At 39.5% G+C, this 27161-nt stretch overlaps 2 long non-coding RNA genes across 6 annotated transcripts, besides 1 other annotated feature; both read right to left on the bottom strand.

The window, feature by feature from the left end:
- Positions 1-1023: 1023 nt before the first annotated feature.
- Positions 1024-4169, bottom strand: LOC124903469 (uncharacterized). Its single transcript, XR_007064595.1, has 3 exons — positions 4037-4169; positions 3771-3897; positions 1024-1103 (listed from the first exon to the last, which is right to left on the bottom strand). It is a non-coding gene; the product is annotated as an uncharacterized LOC124903469 (long non-coding RNA).
- A 7524-nt stretch (positions 4170-11693) lies between these two features.
- Positions 11694-20400, bottom strand: LOC105370783 (uncharacterized). Of its 5 annotated transcripts, none has more exons than NR_188225.1 (5): positions 19931-20400; positions 15652-15862; positions 14120-14403; positions 13239-13287; positions 11694-12651 (listed from the first exon to the last, which is right to left on the bottom strand). It is a non-coding gene; the product is annotated as an uncharacterized LOC105370783 (long non-coding RNA). The 5 variants fall into 5 exon arrangements; NR_188226.1 differs by having other exon boundaries at positions 14267-14403; NR_188224.1 differs by lacking the exon at positions 13239-13287.
- Positions 24182-25299: an enhancer, noted in NCBI's record as "amplified fragment containing the chr15:39760520-39761638 (GRCh37) CAGE-defined region". NCBI's record gives its function as "transcribed enhancer in THP-1 monocytes {active_cell/tissue: THP-1}" and the evidence as "EXISTENCE:reporter gene assay evidence [ECO:0000049][PMID:24670763]".

Genomic DNA, 27161 nt, shown 5'->3' with positions numbered 1-27161 from the left:
ATTAAGCTCTGCACTACTGTCACGAAATCTTCACTTTCAAATCCTTTTTCTGGCCGTATTTGCAGTGTTTTTTTTCTTGGTCTTTTTCAAATAGACTACACACCTCCCTATAAAATAAACTATGTAATGTTCAGCTCTGTGTATTGGGGAGGTAGAGCCCACATGTTTACAGGTTATATGGATTCAGTGATGTATAATGTAGACATAGTTCAAATGTTTTTTGAGTGCTAATCTCTAAAATTAGATCAACACACACGCACACAGATGCACACACACATATTTCAGCTTTGTTCCTCAATTTCTAAAGACTTTATTGATTGGCCTAGTCTAGTATATTCCAGAAAAAAGTTTTTTTTATTTTTTGAGGACAAGAAATAGGTCTTTGATTCTACGTCTGTGCACTTAAACTACTCCTATGTATAGAGGAATGATTAGTTTGTATTTGTTGACTTTGCAATTGAAAGGATCTCAGAATTCACTTCAATGAATTTGGCCCAAACTTGCCTGAATATAAGAATACAAACATCTTCTCAGGGCCCAAGTCAGAACTTTGGACTCAATCTACAGAGGAGGAGCTTGACAATCTATACTTTTTAACGCAGCAAGTTATTTCTATCATTGTGTAGATTTGGGAAACATCTCCATGCGTACAAAGGGGTAGAAGTTTCTTCTACAGCATCATAAGTTATGTTTTTTGGTTTTAGCTCTCAGGTTTGAAGACACAGAGACACACTCATTTTTGTCCATGGAAAGGTGGATTTATTATAAGGACATAAAGCATTCTTTGGGGAATCCAAGAGTAGGCAGTGGAGCACAGCCTGGCCCCATGGACTAGAACAGAGGGTCTGTGGTCTTTCGTTCATGACGTCCCTGCTTTTCCCTGTCCACCAAGTTCATATTCCTCTATCTACTGGTCAGGCTTCCCATGCCTTCAGCTTGTCCATAGTCCATAATAGCCCTCCGGCCCCGAGTCACCTCGCCCTCAGTTCCTTCTCCAGAGCCCACCGATTCAGAATTTCCATTGCCTGATTCAGTATTTCTGAGTGATCACTCATCAGCTCAGCCTTCTGAGCCAGATCACCAGAAACATCATTACTGGCAACCTGTGGATACATTTAGAAACAATAGTGCAGACATGACTGGGGAAAGAGCATAATAATTTTACTATTTAATTATAAGGATATTGGAACTATATCTCCAGGTTGTAGTTAACATTTGTTAAGCCCCAAGATTAACATTTTGGACTGTTGGTGAGGTGTTTGAAACTGTGTTTGCACTATGGCTTACTCAACAGTGGACAAACATGTTAGTTGTAACAGTAGAGGTATACAAATGACTAAACAGCAGCAATAAAATTTTTTTTTAAAGAGAAAACTTTGAATGACAACAAGGTGTTGCATAGTCAGAGTTCCCAGAATTTTCCATTCTATTTTGACTTTCGCTTAGAGAGTTTAAGTGGCCCTTCCAGGATGCACTTGGCAGCTTTGGGAAAGGATTAGAAACAGAGGCGATGGTCAAGGCGGGACCTGCTTTTTGTAATCTTCTGCTTCAGTTAGGGTGGATCATGTGGTTTTTCAGTTCCTAGAGACCACATTAGCAGTTAGGAACCAAGCCAGTTTATCTTTTTTGGTCCCTATTTTTGAATCTAGGTGAGCAGCTGACTCAAGGAAGAACAGAGTGTGACCTGACTCCATTTAAATTACGCAGCTTTTATTATGGGACTTGAACACACAGGATATGGCTTTCCCTGACTCTCTCATTGAGCGAAAGTTTAGATCAAAATAAAATTCCCTCTGTCTGATTTCAGATTAACTGTTGTTCTGGGAAATGTCACAGAAGCAGAGGCAATGTTATTTCACTAAAAATAGTTGTGTCAGAAACTAAGAGTCATATCAAAAACTTCTAGAGGTTTTAGGTCCAAAAGCCCACATGATGTCTGGTGACAAGTTTATTTGAGGCCCGCATGATAAAAATTTAGAGGTAGAAACAAATGGCTCTATAATCTAGTTCACATGTGAATTGCCCTTTGCTTTTCCACCCCGTTCTTTTTGCCTGTCATCCTCTTGGCTGTAGGCAGGAAAGGCTGACGAGAAGGCTCAACAGAGTCTGATTTTCTTCTAGTTGAAAATGTTGATGGATGTTGAAGTTCAAGCCTGCTATACTGGGTTTTTGGATTACTGAGGTTGAGTTTTAAATTATACAGGTCTGTTTTTATGTGTGAGCGTAATATCCACTGTGGCATATTTGTGAAGCTCGCTCGTTGCTTTATTATTGTCAGGGCTACACAACAAGCACAGAGCCAAGCTGTGTGTCTCTATTTAGAGCGTATGTGTCCACAGGGCAAAAGCGATCATACACAAAACAAAAGAGTATAACTAAGCACTGGACTAAGGACCATGGATATTTAAAGAAGGAAAATTCCGTAATGGGTGAATTTTAAAAATAATTTTGTTTTATAAAGCTTCCTGGGGGAGGCGGGTGATGACGCTATAAAGGAGTTTAACATTCTATTGTTTCTTTTCTATTACTTATTTTTGGAAATCCATTTCCAACCAGATTAGAAAATGTTTTAAATTTACATGCATATTTACATAAATATTCATTCAATTTACATACTTTACATTAAATTTAAATACATTACTTTAATTGCTTTTGCTTGTTAAGAAATGTTTTTCTTTTTTTAAAAGAAACTTTTTCTCTACCAAGGTTTTCAAAATATAAAGCATGAGGAAAGGATCAAAGTTTTTCTTGGGAGATGGGCTAATTGTTGCAGCACTAGATATAAGACTCTTGAGGGCAAGAAATGGGCCTGTCGTGCTCTCTGTTGTGTCCTGGTGTCCAGCATAGTGTATCTTGTCCATTGGATGCTTGCTGAATACTTGACTGAATGAATCATGTTCCTGGACAATGATTTGGTGAGGTGGAGGACAGTTTGAACAAAGGCATTGAGATGGTAACAGCCTGATTGGAATAGACTAGGATGATAGGGATTGGTTGAAATACCATTGTATAGCCAGAGAAAGGTTAGGCCATAGAGGGTTTTGAAAGGGTGTATGTTTGACAAGACAGAGAAAAGGGAGATCGATCAAGTTTCATAAACAGGAAAATAATGATGAATGCTTTTAGAAAAACATATCTTGCAAAGTTAGGAAAACATATCTTGCAAAATTAGTTGGAAGGGACAAAGATGCCAGTTTCTTCTTTTGTGAGTTAGTGAGGCATAGATCTAAGTTGAAATAGACCTAAAAATCGCTGATGGGACAGATGCTAAGACTTGGTGACAGGATAGAAATAAAAGGCTGAAGGAGAAGTAGGAGTAAAAAGTAGGAGACTAAAAGAGTGGAGCTGGTATGGCAGGGAAGGGAGCCACTTGGAAGGAAGCCCATTTGGATGGGTGGAAGTCTGACAAAGGAAGGTACCTGGCTTAGTTCATGCTTGAAGCAATGGGAAGACATCCACCTATAGGTGTTTGGATTTATGCAAATCCTCTTGGGAGAGGTGAGAGGTCATTGTCAGGTTTATAGATCCAAGGAAGCATTAACAAGGTGATGCCAGATCAAGTCATGTAAGGGTGGAGAAAGATGCACAGAAGGCAGGAATCCTTGGGGCCAAAATGAGGGCAGTAGTTGGTCACCTGGATGAACTTTACCTAATGAATCCCCTAAGATTAGAAGGCATTTCTTATTCATCTTTGCACTCCCAGCAGGAAGTACCATGACTATTTTACAGTAGGAATATTCAGGAAAATAATGTAATTTCTGCCTACCAACCTGAGGAACTCGAGGACAAATGTCTGCAGTTCTCCTTGGGATTGTGATATTAGAGCAGCGGACACAATTTTCCTTTTAGCTACCTTGATGTTTAATTTGACCTCTTTTTCCCTCTATGCCACTTTTTCTTGTTATATAAAAAAGAAAAAGCACGGTGTCAGCACATCTCTGATGTGTAGTGTGTTCTGGGTGTAAAAGAACAACTCAAACCCCAGCATTCTTTTTTCTTAAACAATAAAAAGAAACAAACTCAACAGCGAACTTACGTATTTGTGGTATGCTTGGTATTATGTGGGCCTCAGTCCTGTCCTAGACAGTGTATAATCAAAGTGACAATAGGTTCCATAAAAGCCAGCTCCGACTCTGTTCCACAGGCAGCATCATTCTCTCTGTGAGTTAGCATCCTTCTTCCATCATGGACAACAGTATTTCTTTAAACAAATCAGCCTTCTAATTCGTGGTTTTTAGGAGTGGTGATTTCATATATGCAGGTATAAGTAACAATAGCCAAAGACTCTACAATAGCATTCTCCAATAGACTAGATTACAGTGACCTTCAAAAATCAAGAGATAGTTTTAAACATTTTGGAATTTCTATAAACACTTACTTTATGAACTCTCTATACATCCTGTCAAATAGATGTTGGCAATGGCTTTGTTTGTGGAATTCCTAAAGTCTAGGAGCTGCCAGATATTTCCTTTGCTTTTTCCTTCTTCCTTCTTCCTTACTAGGCTTTGAGGGGAGCCTGTGAGTGTGTGTTTTGTACAACAGCCATCTCGGGTGGATGTGAAGTTTTAAATGGCCCCTTTCTTTGCAGGTAGGTTGGCAGACAGAATACTGCTGGCAAAATGGATGATTTCAGATTTAGCCTAGGGCAGAAAAGCCCACTTTGAATTGCTTATTCATTCTTCCTTCAAGGGCTAGTGTCTTAACACTCTACTCAGCACCCAGTGAGTTGGGAAGATTTTATTTGCTGCTTCCAGAAGAGACTTTTTTGTGAAAAGTAAAAATGAAGAAGTTTGTTTATTCTTTCTCTTTTATCTTCTACTTTTTTTTTTCTTTGACAGAGCATAATTCAGAGCTCAAAGCCCTTTGACTTTCTCAGGCTTGGCCTCTCTCCATAGGGCCTGCTCGTCCTATCTGTCTCTGTATTTATATTACTGTGGACACCCTGGCTTCTTTCTCCAAAACAACATGTGATGCTTTTAGTTTGGACTTGGCTGCTGGCTCCTGGAGGACTCAAAGACTTAGAGGCTGTATTAAGAGATGTGTTAGGGTGCTGAAAGGGAACTTCTCTCTCTTTTCTCCTTTATCCATGGCCAAATGAGCAAGATGAGTATCACTGGAGGACCTACATGATTACATGATGCATAGTTGTAGTATCCCTAAATTGGGGCCTGGTTACAGAATTTGTAGTACCTGATGAGTTGGATGCATCTGGGAAACCAAGCTGTCTTTACAAATTCCAGTTCGAAGAATAAACTCTGTGTGTGTGTGTGTGTGTGTGTGTGTGTGTGTGTGGTGGGGGGTGGGTGGGGATAGTAGAAGCTTCCTTCAGGTTGTTGTTCATTCATTCATCCACTGTAAGTTTACTGACTACCCACAATTGGCCTGCCAGTCGGGATTCAGAATTGACGCATGATTCCATTTGTAATATTGCACAGTAGGCAAGGGGTTAAGTAAAGACCTTAGAACTTGGAGTCAGAAGGCCAGGGTTTGAGTCTTGGCTCTGTCATCTGTTGAGCTGGGAAAATCAGAATAAGTGCAATAGGCAGAGTCACAGAGGAAGGACTGGTTAATTTGGCCTGGGATGGTCAGGGAAAGCATTAGAGGGGTGAGAACATTTTAGCTAGTTCTCAAAGAATGATTGGGAGTTTGTCAGGTGAGTGAGGTGAGATAGGGGATGTGATGTATTCTAGATAAATTGAATAGTAACAAAAATCATATATAATGAAAATGTACAACATCTTCAGGGGGTAGTGAGTTACCTGGGAAGGCCAGAGCTCCAGTGTATGGGAAAACTGTTCAGGATATTGTTGAAATCAGGTTGTGAAGGCCCTTGAATACTTTTTGAAGGGGTTTGGACTTCAATCTGCTGCCAGAGGTGCTCCAACTTCAGTTTTTAATCAGATGGGTCAAAAAGTCAGATTCATATTTTACATGCTGCTGGCAGCAGCTCTGAGATGACTTGGAGGGAGTGGGCCCAGAAGGGAGAGAGGAAGACAGAGGATTTTTTCCTAGTGCAGGTGTGAGATGAGACACTATTGTTTTTCCTGTCTATTTTAATAAAGAGTCATTCATACTTCTGCTGCAGGGCAAGTTTAGTGAGCATGCATGGACAGGTAGGAGTAAGAGACTGTCCTAGATGGTAGGTGACAACTGGCTGGTTATCTGGCTGTGTCATGGGTACCTGAGAAGTTCCAGGGGAGCAGGCTGGAGAGGCACCCCTGGGGGTTTCTGGTACAAGGTTTCAAAGGCCTCAGTGATGAGGGCCCAGACATCTTTCTAAGGCCGGGATGCCGGCCCCTTGGGGGAGTCCCTTGATCCAGATAGCATGACAGAGCACTCAGTTTTCTGTGTGTGTGGGCCTTTGAACCTCTTCAAAGTCAAGAGGATTTTCTCTCTGCCACAGACAGAATATTAGTCCTCATTTATGTGCTTTTGTCATTAGAATACACGAAGTATCTATTCTTGTAAAAACCTCAGTTGCACTTGGCTGGAAGCCACTGTTGTTACATTTGTTGGACACAGCTGGTACTCTATCAAGCCTGAAGAATAAAACTAGTGATAATCATGATTCCAATCAGAGTTAATTGATGGAGAAATAATATTATTCTATGTAACATTAAAGGAAAAGACCACTGGTCTGGCCATGTGATATGGTAGTGAAGTGGGTATTTGTTGTAGGGTTATGTAGAGGTTGAATGGTGTCACTAGGGAGAGTGAAAGGTCTCTTGTGGTAACTAGATGGGAAAAGGAACAAAGCCAATATGAACCCCCACAAATTTATGACTTTGTATTTACATGAGAACAAAAAAGACTAAGTAGAAGGAATACGGGGCCAACTGGAAATGCTCCTGTCCTACAGTTGTTATTGACTTGAGTGAGTCACCCAAGCTTTTGTGCTTGAGATATCACATCTGCCATTTAAGGGGAATAGTTTCTATTACTTCTCTACTGAAAAAAATACATGAAGTGTCATTCCAATGCTTTCAGTGGTAAGGATTAGAAATACTATCAAAAATAGGCATCCATGCCAATCCAGCCAGTGAGAGAGCACTGTTAACTTCTGTAAGTAAGAATAGTCTTGATCTGTGAAGTGGGATTAGTACTTACCTTTCTGGATTGTCATGAAGGTAAAGTGTGATGAGATTCGCAAAGTGACCAGCACACCTGGCATCTATCTATATCTGTAGCAGTATATCTAATGTGTGTGTGTACACACACAAGTATAATAGTTGGATGCTTTTATTCCCACTCCAATTACATGCTTTCTTCAGTGAGCCCAGTTCCAATTCATATGCGGGTACTTGCTGTTTTCATACCCACATGTTAACACTGACATTGACCTGTTCTCTTTGAATTGCAAGAACTGGAACCAGGTAGGAATGTCATGGGCTGAGTAGAAAGCTATACGAGTTACAATGGAAATTACTTTGAGCTTACACGTCCTATAATCCCAGATTAACCATATCTTCCAATTTGGAGAGTAATTCCAATATAAATCACTGTTATGGAGTGCTAGGTTGTGGATTACTACCCTTTTGGAATTAAACCTAAAGGCAGGAATTCTTTAGGTTATCTCTGGAAACTAACTTCCCATTATAAGGCCTAGACTCTCTACTCAGGGCTTGCCAGTCAATGGTTCCCCTTGCCTACAGGTTAAAGTCCAAAGTCCTTGGCATGACATATAAGGCTATACATGGCAAGATCCCAGCTTTCCTGCCACCCTCAGCTATCATTAATTTTATCTTCACATCCAGTACTGCAGCCATATCAGACCACTTACAATTTCTCAAACGTCTTAGGTAATTTTAATCTCTGCAGATGCTTGGAATGTTCTCCCACCCTCTACTGGCCTTACCTTCCTACCCAATCTACCTCATATGTTACCACATCAGAGCATGAGTCCACCTCATCTGAATGGTAACTCTCTCTCTTATGCCTCCAGTATAGCTTGTACATACGTCCTTCATAGCAGTTACCTCACTGATTTTAATCATTTGCATATTTATTTTTCTCTGAGTTATGAGCTCTTGGAGGACAGAGACCATATCTGTAGAAATTGGCTTCATATCACCTGATTATTCTTTTAGAATTAAGTGTCATGAAATAAAAGCTTTCTTTGTATCTTACTGTATTGCCCACCCCTTTCCTATTTTCTTGGCACCAGAAAACTCAGAACAAAATTTAACTGTAGCGTACAGGAATTGATGATACATATCTTGACATTGCAGTCTTTCTAGACCTTTTTTGTCTCAATTTTATATTATCTATGAATATTTCCAACTTTTATTGTATATATTCAGGTAGTCATCTTCAAGTCATTTGAAGAGTGACTTGTAGATTACACTAAAAATGTCATCTGATCTTTCAAGTTTCCTTGAACCTTTTCAAGGTACGGAGCATCTGGCACTCTGCCCTGGTTTCTTTGTGATTTTGATTTGCATTTCCCTGATAGCTATTGATATTGACATTTTTCACGTGCTTATTGGTTGGCCATTCATATGTCTTCTTTGGAGAAATTTCTATTTAAATCATTTGCTCATGGAAAAAAATGGGCTGTTTGTCTTTATTGAGTTGTAAGAGTTCTGTATATATTTTGGGTGTAAGTATCTTACTAAATATGCAATTTTCAAAATTTTTCTCTCAGTCTGTAGGGTTATCTTTTTACTTTCTTAAAAATATCCCTTGAAGCAGAAAAGTTTTTGATTTTGATGAAGTCCAACCTAGCCATCTTTTATCACCTGTGCTTTAGGTGTCTAATTTGAAGAGTCATTCCCTAATCCGAGATCATGAAGATTGAATTTTGTAGTTGTTTTGAAAAGAGTTTTGTAATTTAGCTCTTACATTTAGATCTATAATACACTTTGAGTTAATTTGTGTCTATTGTGAAGTCAGGGTGCAAATTCATTCTTTTGCATGTGATATTCAGTTGTCCAGCACTATTTGTTAAAGATTATTCTTTGCCCACTGAATTGTCTTGCCTATTTACTGAAAATCGATTGAACATAAATGTGAGGATTTACTGGACTCTTAATTCTATTCTGTTGATTAATATGTTTATCCCTATACCAGTACCACACCATTATGATTACTGTCGCTTTGTAGTATGTTCTGGAATTGGGAAGTGTGAATCCATCAACTTTGTTATTCTTTTTCAAGATTGTTATAGTGATTCTGGATCCCTTGCATTTTTATATACATGTTAGGGTCACCTTGTGAATTTCTGTAAAAACACCAGAAGAGTTTTGTTAAGAATTGCATTAAGTTTGTACATTAATATGGGAAGTATTGCCATCTTAACGATATTAAATCCTCCAATTCATAAGCATGGTGTATCTTTCCATTTATTTTAATCTTCAGTATCACTCAACAGTGTTTTGTAGTTTTTAGCATATACATTTTATACTTAAATTGTTAAATCTATTCCTAAAAATTTTATTCCTTTTGATGTTATTTATAAATAGAATTTTCTTAATTTTATTTTGGTTTTTCATTGTTAATATATAGAAATGCAATCGATTTTTCTATACTGATCTTGTATCCAGCAAACTTGCTGAACCCATTTATTAGTTCTAATAGCTTTTTTTTTTGTTTTTTGTCGATACCTTGGGATTTTCTACATAGGAGATTTTCACATCTGAGAGTGAAAGAAGACCATTTGATTCTTTACAATTTAGTATGATGTTAGCTGTAAGTTTCTGGTAGTTTGAGGAAGTTAATTTTTGTTCCTGGTTTAAGCGTTTTCTTCTTTTTTTGTTTAATCATGAGTGTTGGAGTTTATCCATTATTTTATGCATCTATTGAAGTAATTGTGATTTTTTTCTTTATTGTTGTGGCATATTATATAAATTGATTTTCAGATGTTAAACCAATCTTGAATTCTTGGAAGAAATCTTTCTTAGTTGTGGTACAATTTTTTATTTGTTTCAGGATTCATCTTGGAGTTTTGCATCTATATTCATAAAGGATAGGGATGCATAAAGGTGTGCAGTTCTCTTTTTCTCATGCCTTTGTCTGGCATTGGTATCAGGGTAATAGTGAACTCATAGAATGAGTTCCCCTTTCTTCTATTTTCTAAAAGAGTTTATAAACAATTGGTATTAATTCTTCTTTAAATATTTGGGAGAATTTACCAGTGGAAGCCATCTAGGCCTGAATCTTTCTTTGTGGGAAGTTTTTATTTACTAATTCAATCTTTTTACCTGTTATAGGTCTATTTAGATTTTCTATTTCTTGAGTTAGTTTCAATAATTTGTGTCTTTCTAGGGATTTGTCCATATCATATAGTTTATTTAATTTGTTAGCAATAGAGGTTTTTTTTTTTTACGTTTTATCCCCCTTGAATTCTTTTTATCTGTAAAGTTAGTAGTCAAGTTTCTTCTTTCTTGCCTGATGTGAGTAATTTGAGTCCTCCTTCTTTTTTGCTAAAGTTTCGCTAAAGATTTGTCAATTTTGTTCAAGAACCAACTGTTGCTTTATGTATTTTATTTTTTATTTCATTTATTTCTACTGAAATTTTATTATTTTCTCCTTTTTGCTTGCTTTCAGTTTCATTTGTTCTTTTATAGTTTCATAAATTGAAAGGTTAGATTATTAGAGATATTTTTTAAAGAAATAAGCATTTATTGCTATAAATTTAGCTCTAATGCTGCTTTAACTTCCTCCCATGGTTTTTTTTGTATGCTGTATTTTTATTTTCATTCATCTCAAGTATCTTCTAATTTTCCTTGTGATATTTTTTTCCCTTGACCTATTGGTTATTTATGAACGTGTTGCTTAATTTCCACATATTTGTGTATTCCCCACATTTCTTTTAGTTATTGATTTCTAAATCTGTGGGCATAGAGCCTAATTTACATGATTTCAGTCTTTTATTATCTATTGTGGCTTATTTTATGGCCTAGCACATCATATATTTCTGTGGAATGTTCCGTATGCACTTCAGAAGAATGTATTTTCTGCTGTTGTTGGGTGGAGTTTTCTATAGATGTGTGTTGATTCTACTTGGTTTACAATGTTTTTCAAGTCTCTGTATCCCAGTTGGTTTTCTGCCCAGTTTTTCTCTTTATTGTTGGAAGTGAGGTATTCCAGTCCTCAACTATTATTGTTGAATTGTCTATCTTTCCCTTCAATTTTGTCAGTTGTTGCTTTACGTATTTTGGGATTTTGTTATTAGGTACATACATACTTGTTATTCTTGTTACATCTTCCTTATTGAATAAATTGTCATCACTTAAAATGTCCCTCTTCATCTCTAATAAGTTTTTGTCTTACAGACTATTTTATCTAGTATTAGTATAGCTGCCCCAACTCTGTATGATTGCTGTTTTCATGGTATATCTTTTTCTATCCTTTTACTTTTCTTTTAAAATAATTTTAAAAATTAATTTACATACACTAAAATGCAGAGATTTTAAGTGCTCAGTTCAATGACTGTTGACAATTATACACAGCTATGTATCCACCCCCAAACAAGATATAAACCATATATAATATTTCATACAGTTTTCTCATGCCCCTTTCCAGTCAATCCCCATCTCCTTCCTGTAACAGGCAAGTGCTTTCTGATCATAATGATCTTTTTAAAATCATAGTATATTCATTTGTCTGTTCTAGGTTTTATGGTAATGAAACCAAACAGGAGGTATTCTTTTGTGTCTGGCTGCTTTCTTTCCATATTATGTTTTTAAGATTCATTTATATTGTTGCATTTACTTTTTATTGCTGAGTAATAGCAAATGAATATAACCTAGTGCAGTCCAAGGTCAGCCCTCTTCAGAAGGACTCTGCAAAGGTTCACTCCACTTTCCAGATGATAAAATTGAGAAACCTTCAGGAGCATTAATTCTTTTGTTACTGCCTCTGAATTAACATGTGAGAGAAGCTCTCAGAGCTTGGAGGAGGATGACTACATGATGAGTTTGGAGCCAAACCCTCTGCTCCTTACCTCACGTATCTTCCTAGTCATATACCTAATATCTGGTTTAGTGTAAAAAATGAAGAATTAAGAGGCAGAAAATACACTACCCTGTTCTACTTCCATCACTAGTTCAACATATGTCATCCACTTTCTGGATTTTTTTCTCCTTTGAGTAATGAAGAGCTTGATTTGGTCATCTCTAGGATGCCTTTCATCTCTGATATACTATTTAGTTGTTGGTCAATGACATCTAAGTATGAATTCGTTTATGAAACACAAAAGCAATTTTAACTATGCTTCTCTGCAATGGTAACCATTCTCCCAAGAGAAAGGCAACAAAAAGTGAAGTGATTCAGGAATCCTAATTTTGCCCACCCCACAGTTACACACAGCACTTGGCCTCACTTATTAAGGAAAACAGAAAACAAAAAACAAAAAGTCTCCCCATTAGCAGGGCAGGAAGGATACAGTCCCTTAGGAAACCAAGAAACCAAATGACCTGACAAATGAATTAAGATTGTCAATGTCTGCTGCACCTTTTAGGTTTGGAAGTTACAAAGTAAAGAGTTTAGACTAAACTAGAAGAGGATCAAATTTAAGGATACATGTATGTAAAAGTAGCATGGAAAGCACCAGATATGACTGGCTGTGATACAAGTTCTGGTCTGCACTTCCACGTACAAGATGTCCATGCTTGCCTTGATCTCTTATTCCCTTTTGAGCCATAGTTTCATCTGTGCAAAAAGAGAAGGGTTGCAGGATTTTGTACATTTTGCAATTCCTATATCCACCTTGTAACCACTATGCAATTTTTATTAACAGAAACATAGAATTGTTTAATAAGTATAAGGTCTATTTAAAATTTTGTAAGTACTTCCTCTATTTTTCTTATTTTTTAGAGTTATTATGTTAATGGAAGTAAAATACTGTATTCAAACAACTTAAATAATTAACTTGCCCAAATCTCTACCTCTAGAAATAAGGGAATAGGGTAATTCAGATGAACTAAGAAAACAAAGCAAAGCAAACCAAAGGAAAAAAATGAGAAGAAAAGCAAGGATGTCTTGAGGGGCATATTGGCTTAGGTTTTGAGGATGACAGTAGTTAGAATTGGCCAAATAACTGTGCATTAATCAATAGTATATATGTTACGCCAATAGTTTGGAAGCATACATTGCTCTCAAATTACATACTGATTCAGGTTCTGTTGTTCAGTAGCATTTTCATCAAATATCTTATACATGGTCTCTCTTTGAACAAACACTTCAACAAATATTTTTCATTTCTATCAAGCAAACAATGGCTTTTGGATTTCTATTACCTTTGAAAATATTTGGAAATGATTTATTCTTTCTTGGATAAAGTATAGACTGAAAAAGAAAAGAGAGGATTTGAACAAGGTGATGTGTAAGGTAGACCCTCTTTCAGTTCTAACATTTGGCTTTTATGATCATAATGTGCAAACCTGCCAGAATCTGCAAGGCGAACAAAGAGGTGCAGTGACCAATCCAAGAGCAGCCTCTAGAAAAGCAGCTGCAATGTCCAACAACACAGACCCAGTTGAAACCATCATGGGTGATTCATGCAATTGACTACGTAATAGGATGGCAAAGTGGTCATGACACATTGCTAACTGAAAAAGCAGACCACAAAACATCACAGTGTGGCCTAATTTTAACAATGTACATGCATGTGTTACATGCACACATGCATGCACACACACACAATTCTGAAATAATAGACACCAAAATCTCATGATGTCCAAATGGGGTGTTAGCAGCATATCTTCATTTTTTATGTATATATATATTAACATTAAATGTGCATATCTTAAGTGATAAGAAAAATAAAGATTATTTTTTAATACGAGAAGAAGCAGCAAGGAAAAGTTTTGGGTTAATGGCTTTAGTGTTCACATGGGCTTGAGTACCAAATTGGAACTGAGAGGTAAGAAAAGGTTTTAATATATTCAAAGTGCTTAGAGAGTGGAAGGGGTGTGGGAATGGACTGCCCGTGTGTGCCATCTGTTTTAAATAGCAGGCCTCGGCAAGAACCTGAGAGAAGGGCTTCTTCCCTCCAGCCTGGTGCAGAAATGGTCTCTGAGCTAAGGGCCATTGATTAAAGGGGATTCCAGGGCTCTTCATCTCCCTGCCTACTGGGCAATACTACACTGGCTCCATCATGGGGATCTCACTGTCTTACCAAGAAGGAAGAGCATTGCTTGAATGGAAGCATGTCCCAGACACTTTATCACTGGTGAAGAGCCGAGCTCATTGTCTAAACTTGGCTCCTCATTTTAAAAAGTAAAAAAACGAGTTATCAAAATGATTAGTTATTCTTGAGTCTCACAGCTAGTTAATGGCAGAGCTGAGATTAGAATCCAGGTCTCCTTATTCTCTGGGCAGTGACTTTCTTCCACATCCATCTTTCTTCCTTACTTTCACATCTGGTGCCTTACAGATCCTCAGCACAGCCAAGAACTATACCTGGGAGTGGAAACCAAAACTGAAAGTTAAGGCTGTGTTTTAGAAAGCTCCTAAGAACAAATATTTATATGACTATGTATAGTAGCAGAAATGATAAAAAATACACAGTGAACTTTCTCATTATAGAGTCTTATTATAAGTTTTTTTTTTTTTTAAACTCTTAATGGTTCCCTTACATAGACCATCGTGAGTAAACAGCCATCAACACACGGGGAGAGTTTGCTTGATAAGAATTCTTGTGAAAAATGGCCATTATCCCAACATCTGTTAGCCTTGCAAATAAGCTAGTAAACATTAATGTTTTCCTGGGCTATAGATATAGACCAAGTGGTATTGTCCTGATCATGAGAGAAAATGGCCCCATTGTACTCTGCACTGTAAGACCATATCCAGAATCATGTCCCCAGCCATAGGCATCACATAAGACAGATACTGAGAACTTAGCCTCCAGAGGGTGCAAACCAAGAGGCTAATGCATCACATATCTGTAGTCTCTACACTGAACAGTGGGAGTTTGGTGGGAATGCAGTGCGTGAGTTCAGGTAGTGGAAGCAAGAAGAGTAGAAAGGAAAAGAGAAGGCAGGATGATGGCAAATGGATGAAACTTTCAGAGAGGGAGATTTGACTCAACCTAAGGAGGGCGTTCCTGTTAACTGGTGGTGCTCAGCCATCTATCATAGAAGGACTTGGAAAGACTTAGATGACTTTGGTCAAAGATACTGAAGAGCGACTTCTGGTACTGGGAGGTGAGGACTTGAACTACATCACCTTTACTCTCCCTGCCAACCATGAGAGATTATAACTCTTAACTGAGGTTGTGGGCTGAGAAGGGATTTCTAAGACAAGGTCAGAAACACTGGACCTTAGGGCCAGGAGAAAGGAAAACACTGCAGTTTGGGTTAATGAGAATGGTGGGAGAACACCAAGAGGAAAGGGTCTCGACTTCTCAGTGACCTGGTTGCTTTGTGTGGATTTCTTCTCTTGTTCCTTGTTAACAAGTTAATTCCTGCATGCCTAGGTTATTTACCTTTTCACAAAAGAGGGAAAATACAATGCAGTCCAACAAACGAAGCACAATCTGAAAATATAACAGCTTATTGTAGCTGCCTGATAAACCACTATTTTGCCTGCTATATATATATATTCCACCTTTTAAACTCTAGGAGGATTTTTGATCAGTGCCTGGCTATTCTGTAATCCGTTATCAAGTACGTAATACATAACTGAGAAGACTTGGTCAATACAAACCCATTAGGATAGAAGTGGGAGGAGTAGATGGATTTGCAGGGGAGGGTTTTGCAGCATCCTCAAACTTCTCTCGGAGCTGGTAGGCTCCAAAGAGATTGAGACTTCGAGGACAGTTGGCCATTCTCAAATTAAACATAGTACCCACATTCATGTGTGGAAATGTTCAATATTTCTTAGGCTTTGAACTTGATAACGTAGTGGACTATCAGCCCTAGAGAATAGGGAAGAAAAGGAAGGTGTATCAAATCCTTATCAGATGTAAATTCCAACTTGTATATAAAAAATTGCCCCATTGGTTGAGTGGAAAAGTGAGTAGAAATATGATTTCCAAACCCTATTGCTGTTGGAATTCTCTAGGGTTGATTTAATCAGGAATATCTCTGTCCTCAGGGAGCTATGTCAGTTCTCAGTTTAGATGACTGTTATGCAAACATGTTTACCATCCTGAAGACAACCATACAGTTATCACAAAACTCAGTGAAACAGATATTTAAATCACATGGCAGAAATGGTGCTAGTGAAACAAAAATGTCTGCTCAGGAAAAAAAAAAAATCAACCCCCAAAGTTATCGGTAACAGAATAAGAGGACTCAGGGCTCAGGAAACCATGGGTACAGAGGCTTTGGATCTTTTAATATTGCCTGGGCCTCTGGATTTGACTGGGGTTTAAATAAAGCATGTAATGGGAAGAAGACAAAAATCATATGATGCAATAGAGCTAGTGGCATGTCTACAAGTCCTACTAGTTTATTTTTGGTGAACTGGTAGAAGTTTAGAATCTATTTATGGGACTTAGTTATTACCCAGGAGAAATGGACATTTTTGCAGCAGGAACAACATAAATATCTATGGGTTTAGTAAGTCACAAATTTTCTTGCTGAAGGCTGGTTTTAGAGCTTCCCCGCTGGGACCTCTGTCCAGGCTAGTTAACCATTACAGGGAAATATACAACTTCCTGAGGTCCCTAAAGGTCCCTTTTGTCACTCTCTTACCCTAACCACCAGTATTTTGGGATAGGAAAGGGAGTTATGATGATAATGATAATTATTGATGATTGCAATAATAAGAATAGCTTTCATTTTGAGGGCTTACTATGTGTCAAGGACTGTTTAAAAAATTTGTAAAATTAAGAGCACTCAGCAGTTATTTTTGAGTTCATATTTTATGATCGTGGAAGCTACTGGTGGCTCATCTTTCCATTACAAGCTTTAATCAGTTTGTTATTTTCACACATGTTGCTGACAGCTTCATAAGTTTCCATGTATAAGCCCAAGCAAGACTCCACTATTTGTTCTACCTGAACATTTCCTTGCCCGTTTATGCAGCGAATACCCTTTCAAGAAACAAGACCTGGCCAGTTTCTTCAAGGTCTTGGTCCCAGCGTACACTGCTCAGGAATTAAGGCCCCCAGGCAATGCCAGCCTCCTAAAGAGGAGAGGCAGAGGGTCTTTGCATTGCTTCAAAGGAAGCCCGTAGACATTGCTGGAGACCAGGCTGTCTTAGATGTAGGTGTGTGTTGTGGGTGGGAAAGGGGGGATAGAGCTTTTCTAGCACAGCTAGCTCTTTGTCGCCTGTTAAGTGGCTCCTCTGCACCCCAACGAGTAAATCGGAAAGGCCACAAAGGGTGCCAGCAAAAACAGAAGCCAGGTTTTCTCTTTGATTTTAGAAAGTGGGAAAATTCTGGAATCCACCGTGATGGCAAGGCATAATGGTTAACAACATGAGCTTCTGCTTGAGATCCAGTTGAATGTCTAAACTTTCTGATTTTCAAGTTCTTCATAATAGGAGGAAGATGCCTTCTGCTTCATGGATTTGTTGTGTCGATTAAAGGAGATTAAATGCACTGTTCACAGCTTTGACTATTACACAGCGAACTCCTCAATTCCTTTAGATCTCTGCTAGTATTTCTTCCTCAGAAGGGCTTTCCCTGCCTATTCTTCATAAAATAGACTCTCCCTGTCTGCCCATAACTTCCTAGCACCTTACTCTGCTGTTTTAGTTTTCTTTACAGTATATATCATTACCCAAAACATATATCTCTGTGTGCTTTTTTTTTCTTTCTGTTTTCTTCCCCAGTAGAATATAAACTTTCATAAGAACTAGGTTGTTTCAGCCTTGTTTGCTGCTCTATGTATAGCTCCTTGGGGACTGCTGGCATGTAGTAGAAGCTCAATAAATGAGTTGAATGAGTAAATGGATGAATGAAATGAATGAACGTAAAATGCTTTGCCCATGATGAATACCTGATGGATTAAAATTTATGTTATCAGTTATATGTAAATGGGGCACTTAGTGGAAAGTGAGTATCTCTGAGATTGTCTTTCTCTCTAGAAGAACTATCTCATTCTACTCCTAGTTGAGCCAGGCAGAATGTGCAAGGCTCAAGGACTAGTGGTCAATGCAGCAGCATCTGGAGAACTTTTTCAGGCCACTGGAAGTGTAGGATCCAGCCAACGGGATCTGGAGGAAATTCCTCAACTCTCACCACATATAGAAATCAAGCAGTGCTTGTAGGTCACAGGGGGATACTATGAATGGATGCCCATTGCATTTAGGAGATCACCATGGCTAAGACATTAGCCTGCTTCCAGGTATGTGTTATCTGCTCCCATTTTTCCTCCTGCTATGGGAGTAGGCCTTTCACTTGATGTTTCCTTTCTGGTCTAGACTTGTATAGTGGACACTCTCTCTATTTATATATACATATATATAAAATATATATATACACACACACATATACACAAACACACATATACACAAACACACACATATAAACATACATATAAAAATACATAAACACACACATATATATACTATATACACACACACACACATATATATGTATATCACAGATGCAATTAATCAACTTGAACTCCTCTACAGTGCTCTCTGGCTTCCATACTTATGATAATCTTAAGAAACCTTCAGGAGTACTAATTTATATCTAGGGAATAATCTGAGCCTCTTCCTCTTTGCCCCAGCAGACACAGTTCAACCATTCTGCCTTGTTAGGGTCCTCCAAAGCAGATATCAAGATACTAGTAAGTATTCCAGGAATTTATTAGGGGAAATGCCTATGTGAAATGACACAGCAAGGGAGGTGGAGAAGGCCGGGCTAGCAGTCAGATCACAGTGTTAGCCTGACCCTGAGTGAAGGGGAGACTGAGAGAAGACTGGGTGGAAACTTAGAATGCTAGACTGCCGCTCAGTGGAAGGAAGCTCCAGCAAAGCCACTGGGGAGTCCGTGTGCCAGAGTCAGCTAAAGAAGGAGCCCAGCTTCTCAGAGGAGGGGGTCCCCTCACAATACCACATCATTGGCCAGCAGCAGCCTTGGAAAGTGAGGTCAAGGTACAAACACAGCAACAGACTTAAAATACAGCAGTTGGGACCCTGGATTAATTCTACCTTCTATAGGAGGAAGTCTATGTGGCTTATTTTCATGGCTACCACACTCCATGAAGCTAGAAGATGCCATAAACATCCCTGAAGCTGGTTGCTTTACAATGCAATACCAGGCTGCCAAGTGGGAGAGCTGGTGTCAAGCCTCTTACTCAGGAAAATGCAAATTAAATGGGTTAACCCTTCATGGCAATGGAGGGAGGGGTAGCAGAGCACCTTTTCTCAGCAGCCCCCTAGCCACAGTAGTTCTTCCCTATTTCCTGACCCAAGAATGCAGCTTTCAAAAGTTGGCCTGTGTTGCATTTGGTTCCCCTATATCTCCCTTCTCTAGGGAGCAAACTTGTGTCCAGTAGGGCTGGGTCAGTACCAGTCCTGACAGTTTTGGCCTCAGAGAATCAGAACCACTTACTACTCATTCTCAGAGGTCCGTCTTGGTGTACAGGCCTGCCCTCTAGTCCAATCTCTTTCTACCTATGATATTATGGTTGTTATTGTTGTTGTTTTTAAAGAAGCCAGTAGTTCCTTCTTGGGCCTTGACTGGGGTCACCTAAATCTACCCTGATGACTTTCCATTAAACACTTGCCGTCCCTTTCCTCTTAGAAGGCCACTGGGACCTTTATAAAAGTTTCCTTACCTCTCCTAGCACCTTAAAAGTCATGCATCAGTAATTTACCTCTGGGAGAAAGTTCTGAACACATGCCTCACTACATCTTACTCTCCTCACTAGCTGAGAATGGAGCAGTTGAAATAAGAGCTCAGACAAATATTTTCCATAATCTGTAGAGAGTAATCAATACTTAGAAGGAACGTCACTTGGCAACAGTGTGAACATTCCATTTTCTAAAGCATTCTTGTATGTTCAACTTCACAGGCTCATACCTTTTTAATATTTCTTAATCACTGGTTAATGTGAATTCTCAGAACTGAGAGGTTCTTCTTGTGTAGCTGATTTCCGCTGAGTTCCTTCTTTTTTCTAATTTTGGTATGATGGCACTGTGTCTAATGAAGCAAGTCAAATAAACGGCAGATTCTGTTCCCCGAAGCCCTCTTCATCCTGGAACATTAACTGTCTAATTTGTTCATGGGAAGACCCAGCTGTTAGCAGGCAGCCTGCGGGCCCCAAAGCAAATGAGGAGAAGCCTTCCTGTGAACTTCAGAACACATGCTGGGGTGGGGGCTGTGGGGAGACATTTTGTTTATCACTCATTTAAAGTATGTTGCTCCCAAATAAATGGCTGTAAATGGAGATGAAGGGATAAGACTTGTGACTAATTTCTCTGGGGAGCCTAAGTATCTCCACTCCTGACCCCAGTGTGCTGCCTCCCCCATCTTCCCATTGTAAGACTCACAGCAGCTTTATGACAAGGTGGGTGTTTATGATCCAGTTCAGGATGGGGACTAACCCAGTCCTCCCTGGTGGAGGCATTCTTTCCATGACGGGGCTGACGCTCTGCCAATAGGATCCCAGTGAGCTCAGGGAACAGTGTCAGGTTGATTCAGCTGAGGAAGTCACGGCCTTGATTTAGCCTTAAAAGGCTGAGGTTCCGGTGGAAGCGAGTCTGTCTCAGCGTGAAAGCCCAAGGCTCTGAGCATTCCCAGATGACATCTGTGATTTTTCCAACACACATTTGGCCTCCTTGGTTCCTTGCAGTGCTTTGGTTGTGCAATCACCACTTGGCAGGTTCTTCGTCCAGTGAAATCTGTACATTTTCAGCTCTGACATCTCAAAAATAATCATTGGAGCATTTTTTTTATCAGAGTGGTTTATCGTAAAACAACCACTCCCACCGACATTTCTTGTAACCAGTGCTAGGAGAGTGACGACTTAGAAGGCCTTTTGAGGAAGGAGTAGTGGAAGAAGGGCTGGTTTCGGAATTGAACACACCAGGGTTCCAATTCTAGCTTCCTTTTATTACATGTTGCCGGACCTTAGGCCTTCAGGGGCTCAGTTTCATCTTCTATAAAGTAGAGAAAATAGTATATACCTTGCAATGTAGTTGTGAGGATTAGATATCAAATCTATCATTAGATTAGTTCATCAGATGGACTCAGTACACTTTGTATGAATATATGAGTGGGATGTGTGTGTGTTGTGTAGTGTTGGTCCTAGGTTAGAGGTGAGAGTGGTTATAAGTTTAGTGTATATAGAGGGAATATCAGCTCTCTTTTTAGCCCTCAATAAATCACAAACATGCACATACACACTGCACGTGTGCACACATTCTTGAAAACCTCAGCTTTTTTCTTTTTGATGTTGAGATAGCTAAAGATTCCTTTCTTTAGATTTTTTTTTATTTGTAGTCATGGATACATAATTGTTGTACATATTTATGGGGTACATGTGATATTTTGATATAAGCATACAACATGTAATGATCAAATCAAGGTAATTGGGATATCTCTCACATCAAACATTTATCATTCCTTTGTGTTGGAAACATTCTAATTCTTTCAGTTATTTTGAAATACACAGTAAATTATTGTTAACTATGGTCATCCTAATGTGCTTTACTTTGATAAATAATTTGCTTCTGAGGTTGGTCCAAGACCACATGCCTGTAAGCTAGTCCTCAAACCTCCATGCTTGCACGCTGCCTGGGAATGTCTGAACTGGATTCTCTGATGATATCCATAGGGACAGGCCTAAATCTTTTCCTTTTCAGCCATCAGCTGGCAGCATGCACAGTTAAGAGACATTGCTTCTTGTTCTCACTAATGTCTAAGATCTGAAGACAGAAATAATTCTGAATCTTAGTTTTAGAGGTCTGGGAGAGAAATACTTTTTCTCCAACTCTTGGAATATTTCCCTATTACTATAGTATTCATGTTGTTTCTGAATAGAGTTTATGACAGACCTTCTTTGGTATAGTGAGAAAATATGTTGTTGTTTTCCTTAAAAAGATCTATGACAAAATATTGGTCATCAGCTTTTTAGTAGTAAAAGGCTTGATGTCTGATAATCATAAAACGGAACCCAAGCAATATATTGAAAACAAAAACAAATCCCACCTGGCAGAAACTTTGTAAATTTGCCTTGTAACTTCTTTTAGCTATTGATGTGTTGAGCTTCTAGCACTGGGGAAGATATGAAAGATTCTTTTTTTTTAAGACAGGATCTTGCTCTGCCACTCAGGCTGGAAGGCAGTGTCATGATCATAGCTTACTGAAGCCTCAACCTCCTGGATTCAAGGGGTCCTCCTGTCTTGGCCTCTCAAAGCTAAGACTATAGGTGTGCACTGCCATGCCTGCCTAATTAATTTTTTTTCTGGTCAAGATGGGGTCTTGCTATGTTGCCTAGGCTTGTCTTGCACTCCTGGCCTCAAGCAATCATTCTATCTCAGCCTCTCGAAGTGCTGGGGTTACAGTTTTGAGCCATTGTCCTTGGCTATATATGAAGGGTTTAGAATGTGTTTATTTAGGGGAAGGTCAGCACTTCATTTCTGAAAGATTAATCTGGTGGCAATGTAGAGAACGGTTGGAGGGCCTTAAGTCTGGACACTGGGAAGAGATTTGGAGTTCATTGCCATAAATCAGTGGAGATGATGGTGGTCTCACTTTGCAAGGCGAATAGAAAGAAGTGATGGATCAAAAATATTATTTAGCAGATAGAATCAGTAGGACCTGGTAATTTATTGGCTAGATAGACTGAAGAACAGAAAGAAGACATGGATGGCGTCAATTTTTCTAATTTGAGCAACCAGTTATATGGTGGTGCCATTTACTGAGGAGCATAGAAGGACAGGGGGTACAAGGAGAGGAGCAGGCTTAGGGGAAAGAGTAAATTCACTCTGGACATGCTGAGCCTGAGATGTCTGTGAAACCAAGTGGAGATGTTGACTACATGGTTGGATATTCAGATTTGAAACTGCAGAAATACCGCCTGTAAATAGAGATTTGGAAGTTGTCAACATAGAGTTGGTAATTTACGTGATGTGATTCACCCACCAAGAGGTGAATAAGAAGTGGAACAAGATCTCTGAGGAATGCAGCACCTCAAAGCTGGGCAAGGGGAGAGAAACAGCTGGAGGAGACAGAAGGAGCAACCAGAGAAGGAGGGGAAGAATGGGGAGATGTGGAGTGCTGGATAACGGAGAAGACAGGGTTTCAAGGATGTGTGTAATGCAGGATAGAGATCCAGTAAGATACTGACTGAAGTCTCCTGTGGACTCTACATAAAGGGACCATGTGCATCCTGGCAATGGTGCTTTAGGTGAAGTAGTAGTGATAGAGGTCAGATGCCAGTGGGCTGATGAGTGAGTGGGAGGTGGACCAGTAGATGAGCATGTGAGGGTAAAAAGATAGGGCAGGAGCTAGAAGGCCACATGGGAGAGCAGATTTAGTTATTTCCTTCTTTTCCTTAATCTACTTATTTTCTAAGTTTAGGAGAAGCCAGAGGTATCCTCTTACCTCAACCTCTTGGGTCACTAGGATTGCAGGTGTGAGCCATCATGTTAGGTTTGACTTGTTCTTAAAAATATATTTTATTATTTGGAAGCCATTGAAATATAATTGACTTTTATACTCTTTTTTTTCATGGCTGAATTCATGTTTATTTCCTGGAAACCCTTCAGGATGAAGGGTTAATTCATTACCATGTTTCGCTACATTTAATGTTCCCTACCCCAGCCATATTCAACAGTGTGGTACTTGGAGAAAAGAAAAGGGGCTATCTCTGGGGAAACAATTTGGTTTCCATGTAAGTAGCCCCTGTGGAGAAGATGAAAACCAAGGAAATGTACTACTCCGAGGAGCCCAAACCTCATTTCAGTAGTATTTGATAGCATGTTGTTTAAAGATGAATTTAGAAATGGTTTCTTTGTAGGATCAACATTACTGAGGAAGTGGGAGCTAAGGAGGGACCTCATGTAAGTCCAAAATGTCTAGCATGGTGTGTTCTAATTCTATATTGACTAATTTTAGTATGCCCATGGAAATAAATCAAGTAACTCTGTAGTAACCCCCAGGTTTTAAGTGTTAGCATGGCTTGAAGTCTTAATATCTGTATGGGCTCTATAGGAAAGAACTTAGAGCCATTTCTATTACAATGTGAGCTAATTTTTTTACAGTGAAGTAAATAAAAGCAATGCACGTTTTCTTATTTCTCAATACTCAAGTACATTAACCTGGCGACAGTGTGACATCTGGAGAAGGTATCAGGGAGGACTGAAGGTCTGAGAAGTCTTCTTTGTGACTTGAACAGGTCTTGTGTTGAGCATTATACTTGAATATTCTCCCTTTGTCTTCATCCAGGCCCCATATTTCCTCAAGGCTCTTCACAGCTTTAATAAAATGGTGGTGAGAAGAAGCCTTAGTTTTTTTATAGGTAAGCCCTTCCAAACTGGTGGTTCCTCAGAAGAAAATCTTCATATTTGGAAAGCAAGAACTTTTCCTTGGTGGACAACTCTTTTTGTTGTTTTAAGTTCCAGATTGTTTATCTGGTCACAGAGTTATTTAGTTTCCTTTTCTTCTGTGGTATGCTTATGGTTGATTTTGTAATATTCTCAGTCTTGATCATTGAGGGCCACATTCACATTTAAAAAAGAAATGAGGTCATTTTACAGCTCTTCTAGTCTTGCCCTCTAGGAATTACATTAATCCATTTCTCAAGCATACGTTGAGAAAGAAGACATGGCGTCTCATTAGCTCCTCTACTGCACACAACTCCAGTGCCTTTGGGAGCCTTGGACTAAATGTGGTGAAGACCAGTGCTCCTGTGAACGTGATCAACTAAAAAATTCTTCCTGATGGAATGGAGATTGGGGTTTTGCACAGGAAGGGACTGCTCTCATTTTATGTATAATTCAACCTGCAATATCTCATGAACTGTCTCCTGGCGGCCATTCAGCATTAGGGCTTTCTGTAGAAGAAAACAGGGTCAGCACAAACATCTCCCAATTCATTGAGCTAGAAACCTTGGAAATATGAACTTATGGGACGTCTTTTAGGTTTCTCAGAGAAGGGGCCCAGAGGCTGGGGTACAAGGCAAGGTCTGAGTCACAGAGGAACTGTGGGACCAGGCAGCAATCCAGTTACAGGAAATCCATAATTCAAGGCAAAAACGGAACTTGCAACAAGATCAACTTGTGCTGCACTGATGAACTCTTGAACTTCTCTTCTTTCCTTTGGAACATGTTTAAGGCAGGTTTGACTCTACCAGTGGGGATTATGCGGCCCAATGGTGAAGGTCGGGAGATAAGTAAATCCATATATACCTGTAATTGAAAGGTTCTTAATCTTCTTTGTGCTGTGGACTCTCTGATGTTGGAGAGGTCTATAGTGGCCTACTTAGAAAGATTTTTAAAAACATTAAAATAATGTACATAGCATTACAAATAATAATTTTATTGAAATATAGTTGTTGAAATTAAAAAATGTAATATGTAATATAAGTACCTCTTCATTAATGCATGAAATAGCAAGATCTTTCAGTGGATCTTGTAACTATTCTAATTTCAAAATAATGATACAGAAACATGATATCTGGAAATTTCTGTGGCAACTGTAATGTAATGTGAAAATACCTATAATTTTTATTGGTGATAAAGTCACAAGGACTACTAATACTACTAAGGTGCACGCCTACGCTCATCATGGAAAGAGAAATGCTAAATTTCAGGTAGACATTAGTGGGGAAAAAAGTGTAATAGATATTATTATTTTGAGACAGAGTCTCACTTTGTTGCCTAGGCTGGAGTGCAGTGGTGTGATCTTGGCTAACTGCAACCTCCGCCTTCTAGCTTCAAGCGATTCTCCTGCCTCAGCCTCCTAGGTTCAAGTGATTTTCCTGCCTCTGTCTCCCAAGTAGCTGGGACTACAGGTACACACCACCACCCCTGGCTAATTTTTGTATTTTTAGTAGAGATGGGGTTTCACCATGTAGGCCAAGCTGGTGTCAAATTCCTGACCTCAGGTGATCTGCGCACCTCGGCCTCCCAAAGTGCTGGGATTACAGGCGTGAGCCATCGCACCTGGCCTAGATATTTTTTTTCATCCGGGTTTGTAGCCCTCCTCAGTTCCATCCATGGATCCCATGAGGTCTGGCACTCTATGTTAGAAATCCCTGCTCTAGTTTAGGCCTCTGGTTTGCTCCCTGATTGGGATGGCCAGCTGGCCTGCTGACTTGTGCCATGTGCATTTCTTAGGGACCAGGCTGGGGAGGGGGCTGTTGTGGGTCACATCCCCCAGCAGGGGGGCTCTGGGAGCAGGAACAGGAGGGTAGAGTTAGGAGTAAAGGTGGCTTTCTAAACCAAATGTCTGTCCTGACCCCTGTTTTGGTGCTGGAAATGCCATTGTTTGTCATTCAATCCTTCGGGTTATGAGGATCTTAGCTTTAGAGTCACCATTTGAACTCAGCGCTTCTGTGTAGGCCAGGCACTTTAGTCTTTCCAAAGAAGGTAGGAAAGAGCAGATGGGAAGCGAGGACCTGGGACCAGGACACACAGAGGCCCAGGCCCAGGCCCAGGGAAGGAGGCAAGAGAATCAGATGAGGGAGGAAAAGCAGCTGAATTTAGAATTTTGCCTGAGCAGCATCTTTTTCTGCTATGAAATAAACAACTTGAATAAGCCTAGGATTCGTAATATTTCTGGAATCATTTTCTAGCTTCATTTCCCCAGGATTAATGATTTGAGATTCTCCTCAGAGGACCTGTTTCTTCTTTCATTCGAGACTTATTTCTGCTGCTTCCCTAACAAAGCCCAATTTAAAATTCGGGCTTTACTCTGAAGACAGATTCTGGAGCAGAGAGAGCGAGTCTCCTGTGGCCCTAAAATTGAGCCAGGCCTAGAGGTGGCTCTGAAAGCTGCAGTCGCAGAGACATGGCCCATCCAGAGCATGACTGGGCCTGACCCTTCCAGCTGCCGCCTCAGAGCGTCTGTGAGGATGGAGGCCTGAGCAGTGGCCCAAGGTCAGGGCTTCTGAATGCAGTTGCAGAGATATGTGTGGGGCCACGGCCTCTTGGCCTGTGACGCAGGCTGTCTCATCCAATGGGTTGGGATGTATGTGTGCTGAAAATGTTTGACAGTTTCATGCCAAATGGCCACATTTCCCATTTGGTTTCCTAATCTGGGGAGGGATTTCTTTAGTTTATGGTTTAATTTTAACAAGACATTT

This window comes from Homo sapiens, chromosome 15, assembly GCF_000001405.40.
Source record: "Homo sapiens chromosome 15, GRCh38.p14 Primary Assembly".
NCBI lineage: Eukaryota > Metazoa > Chordata > Mammalia > Primates > Hominidae > Homo > Homo sapiens.
This window is presented reverse-complemented; position numbering and strand designations above follow the sequence as displayed.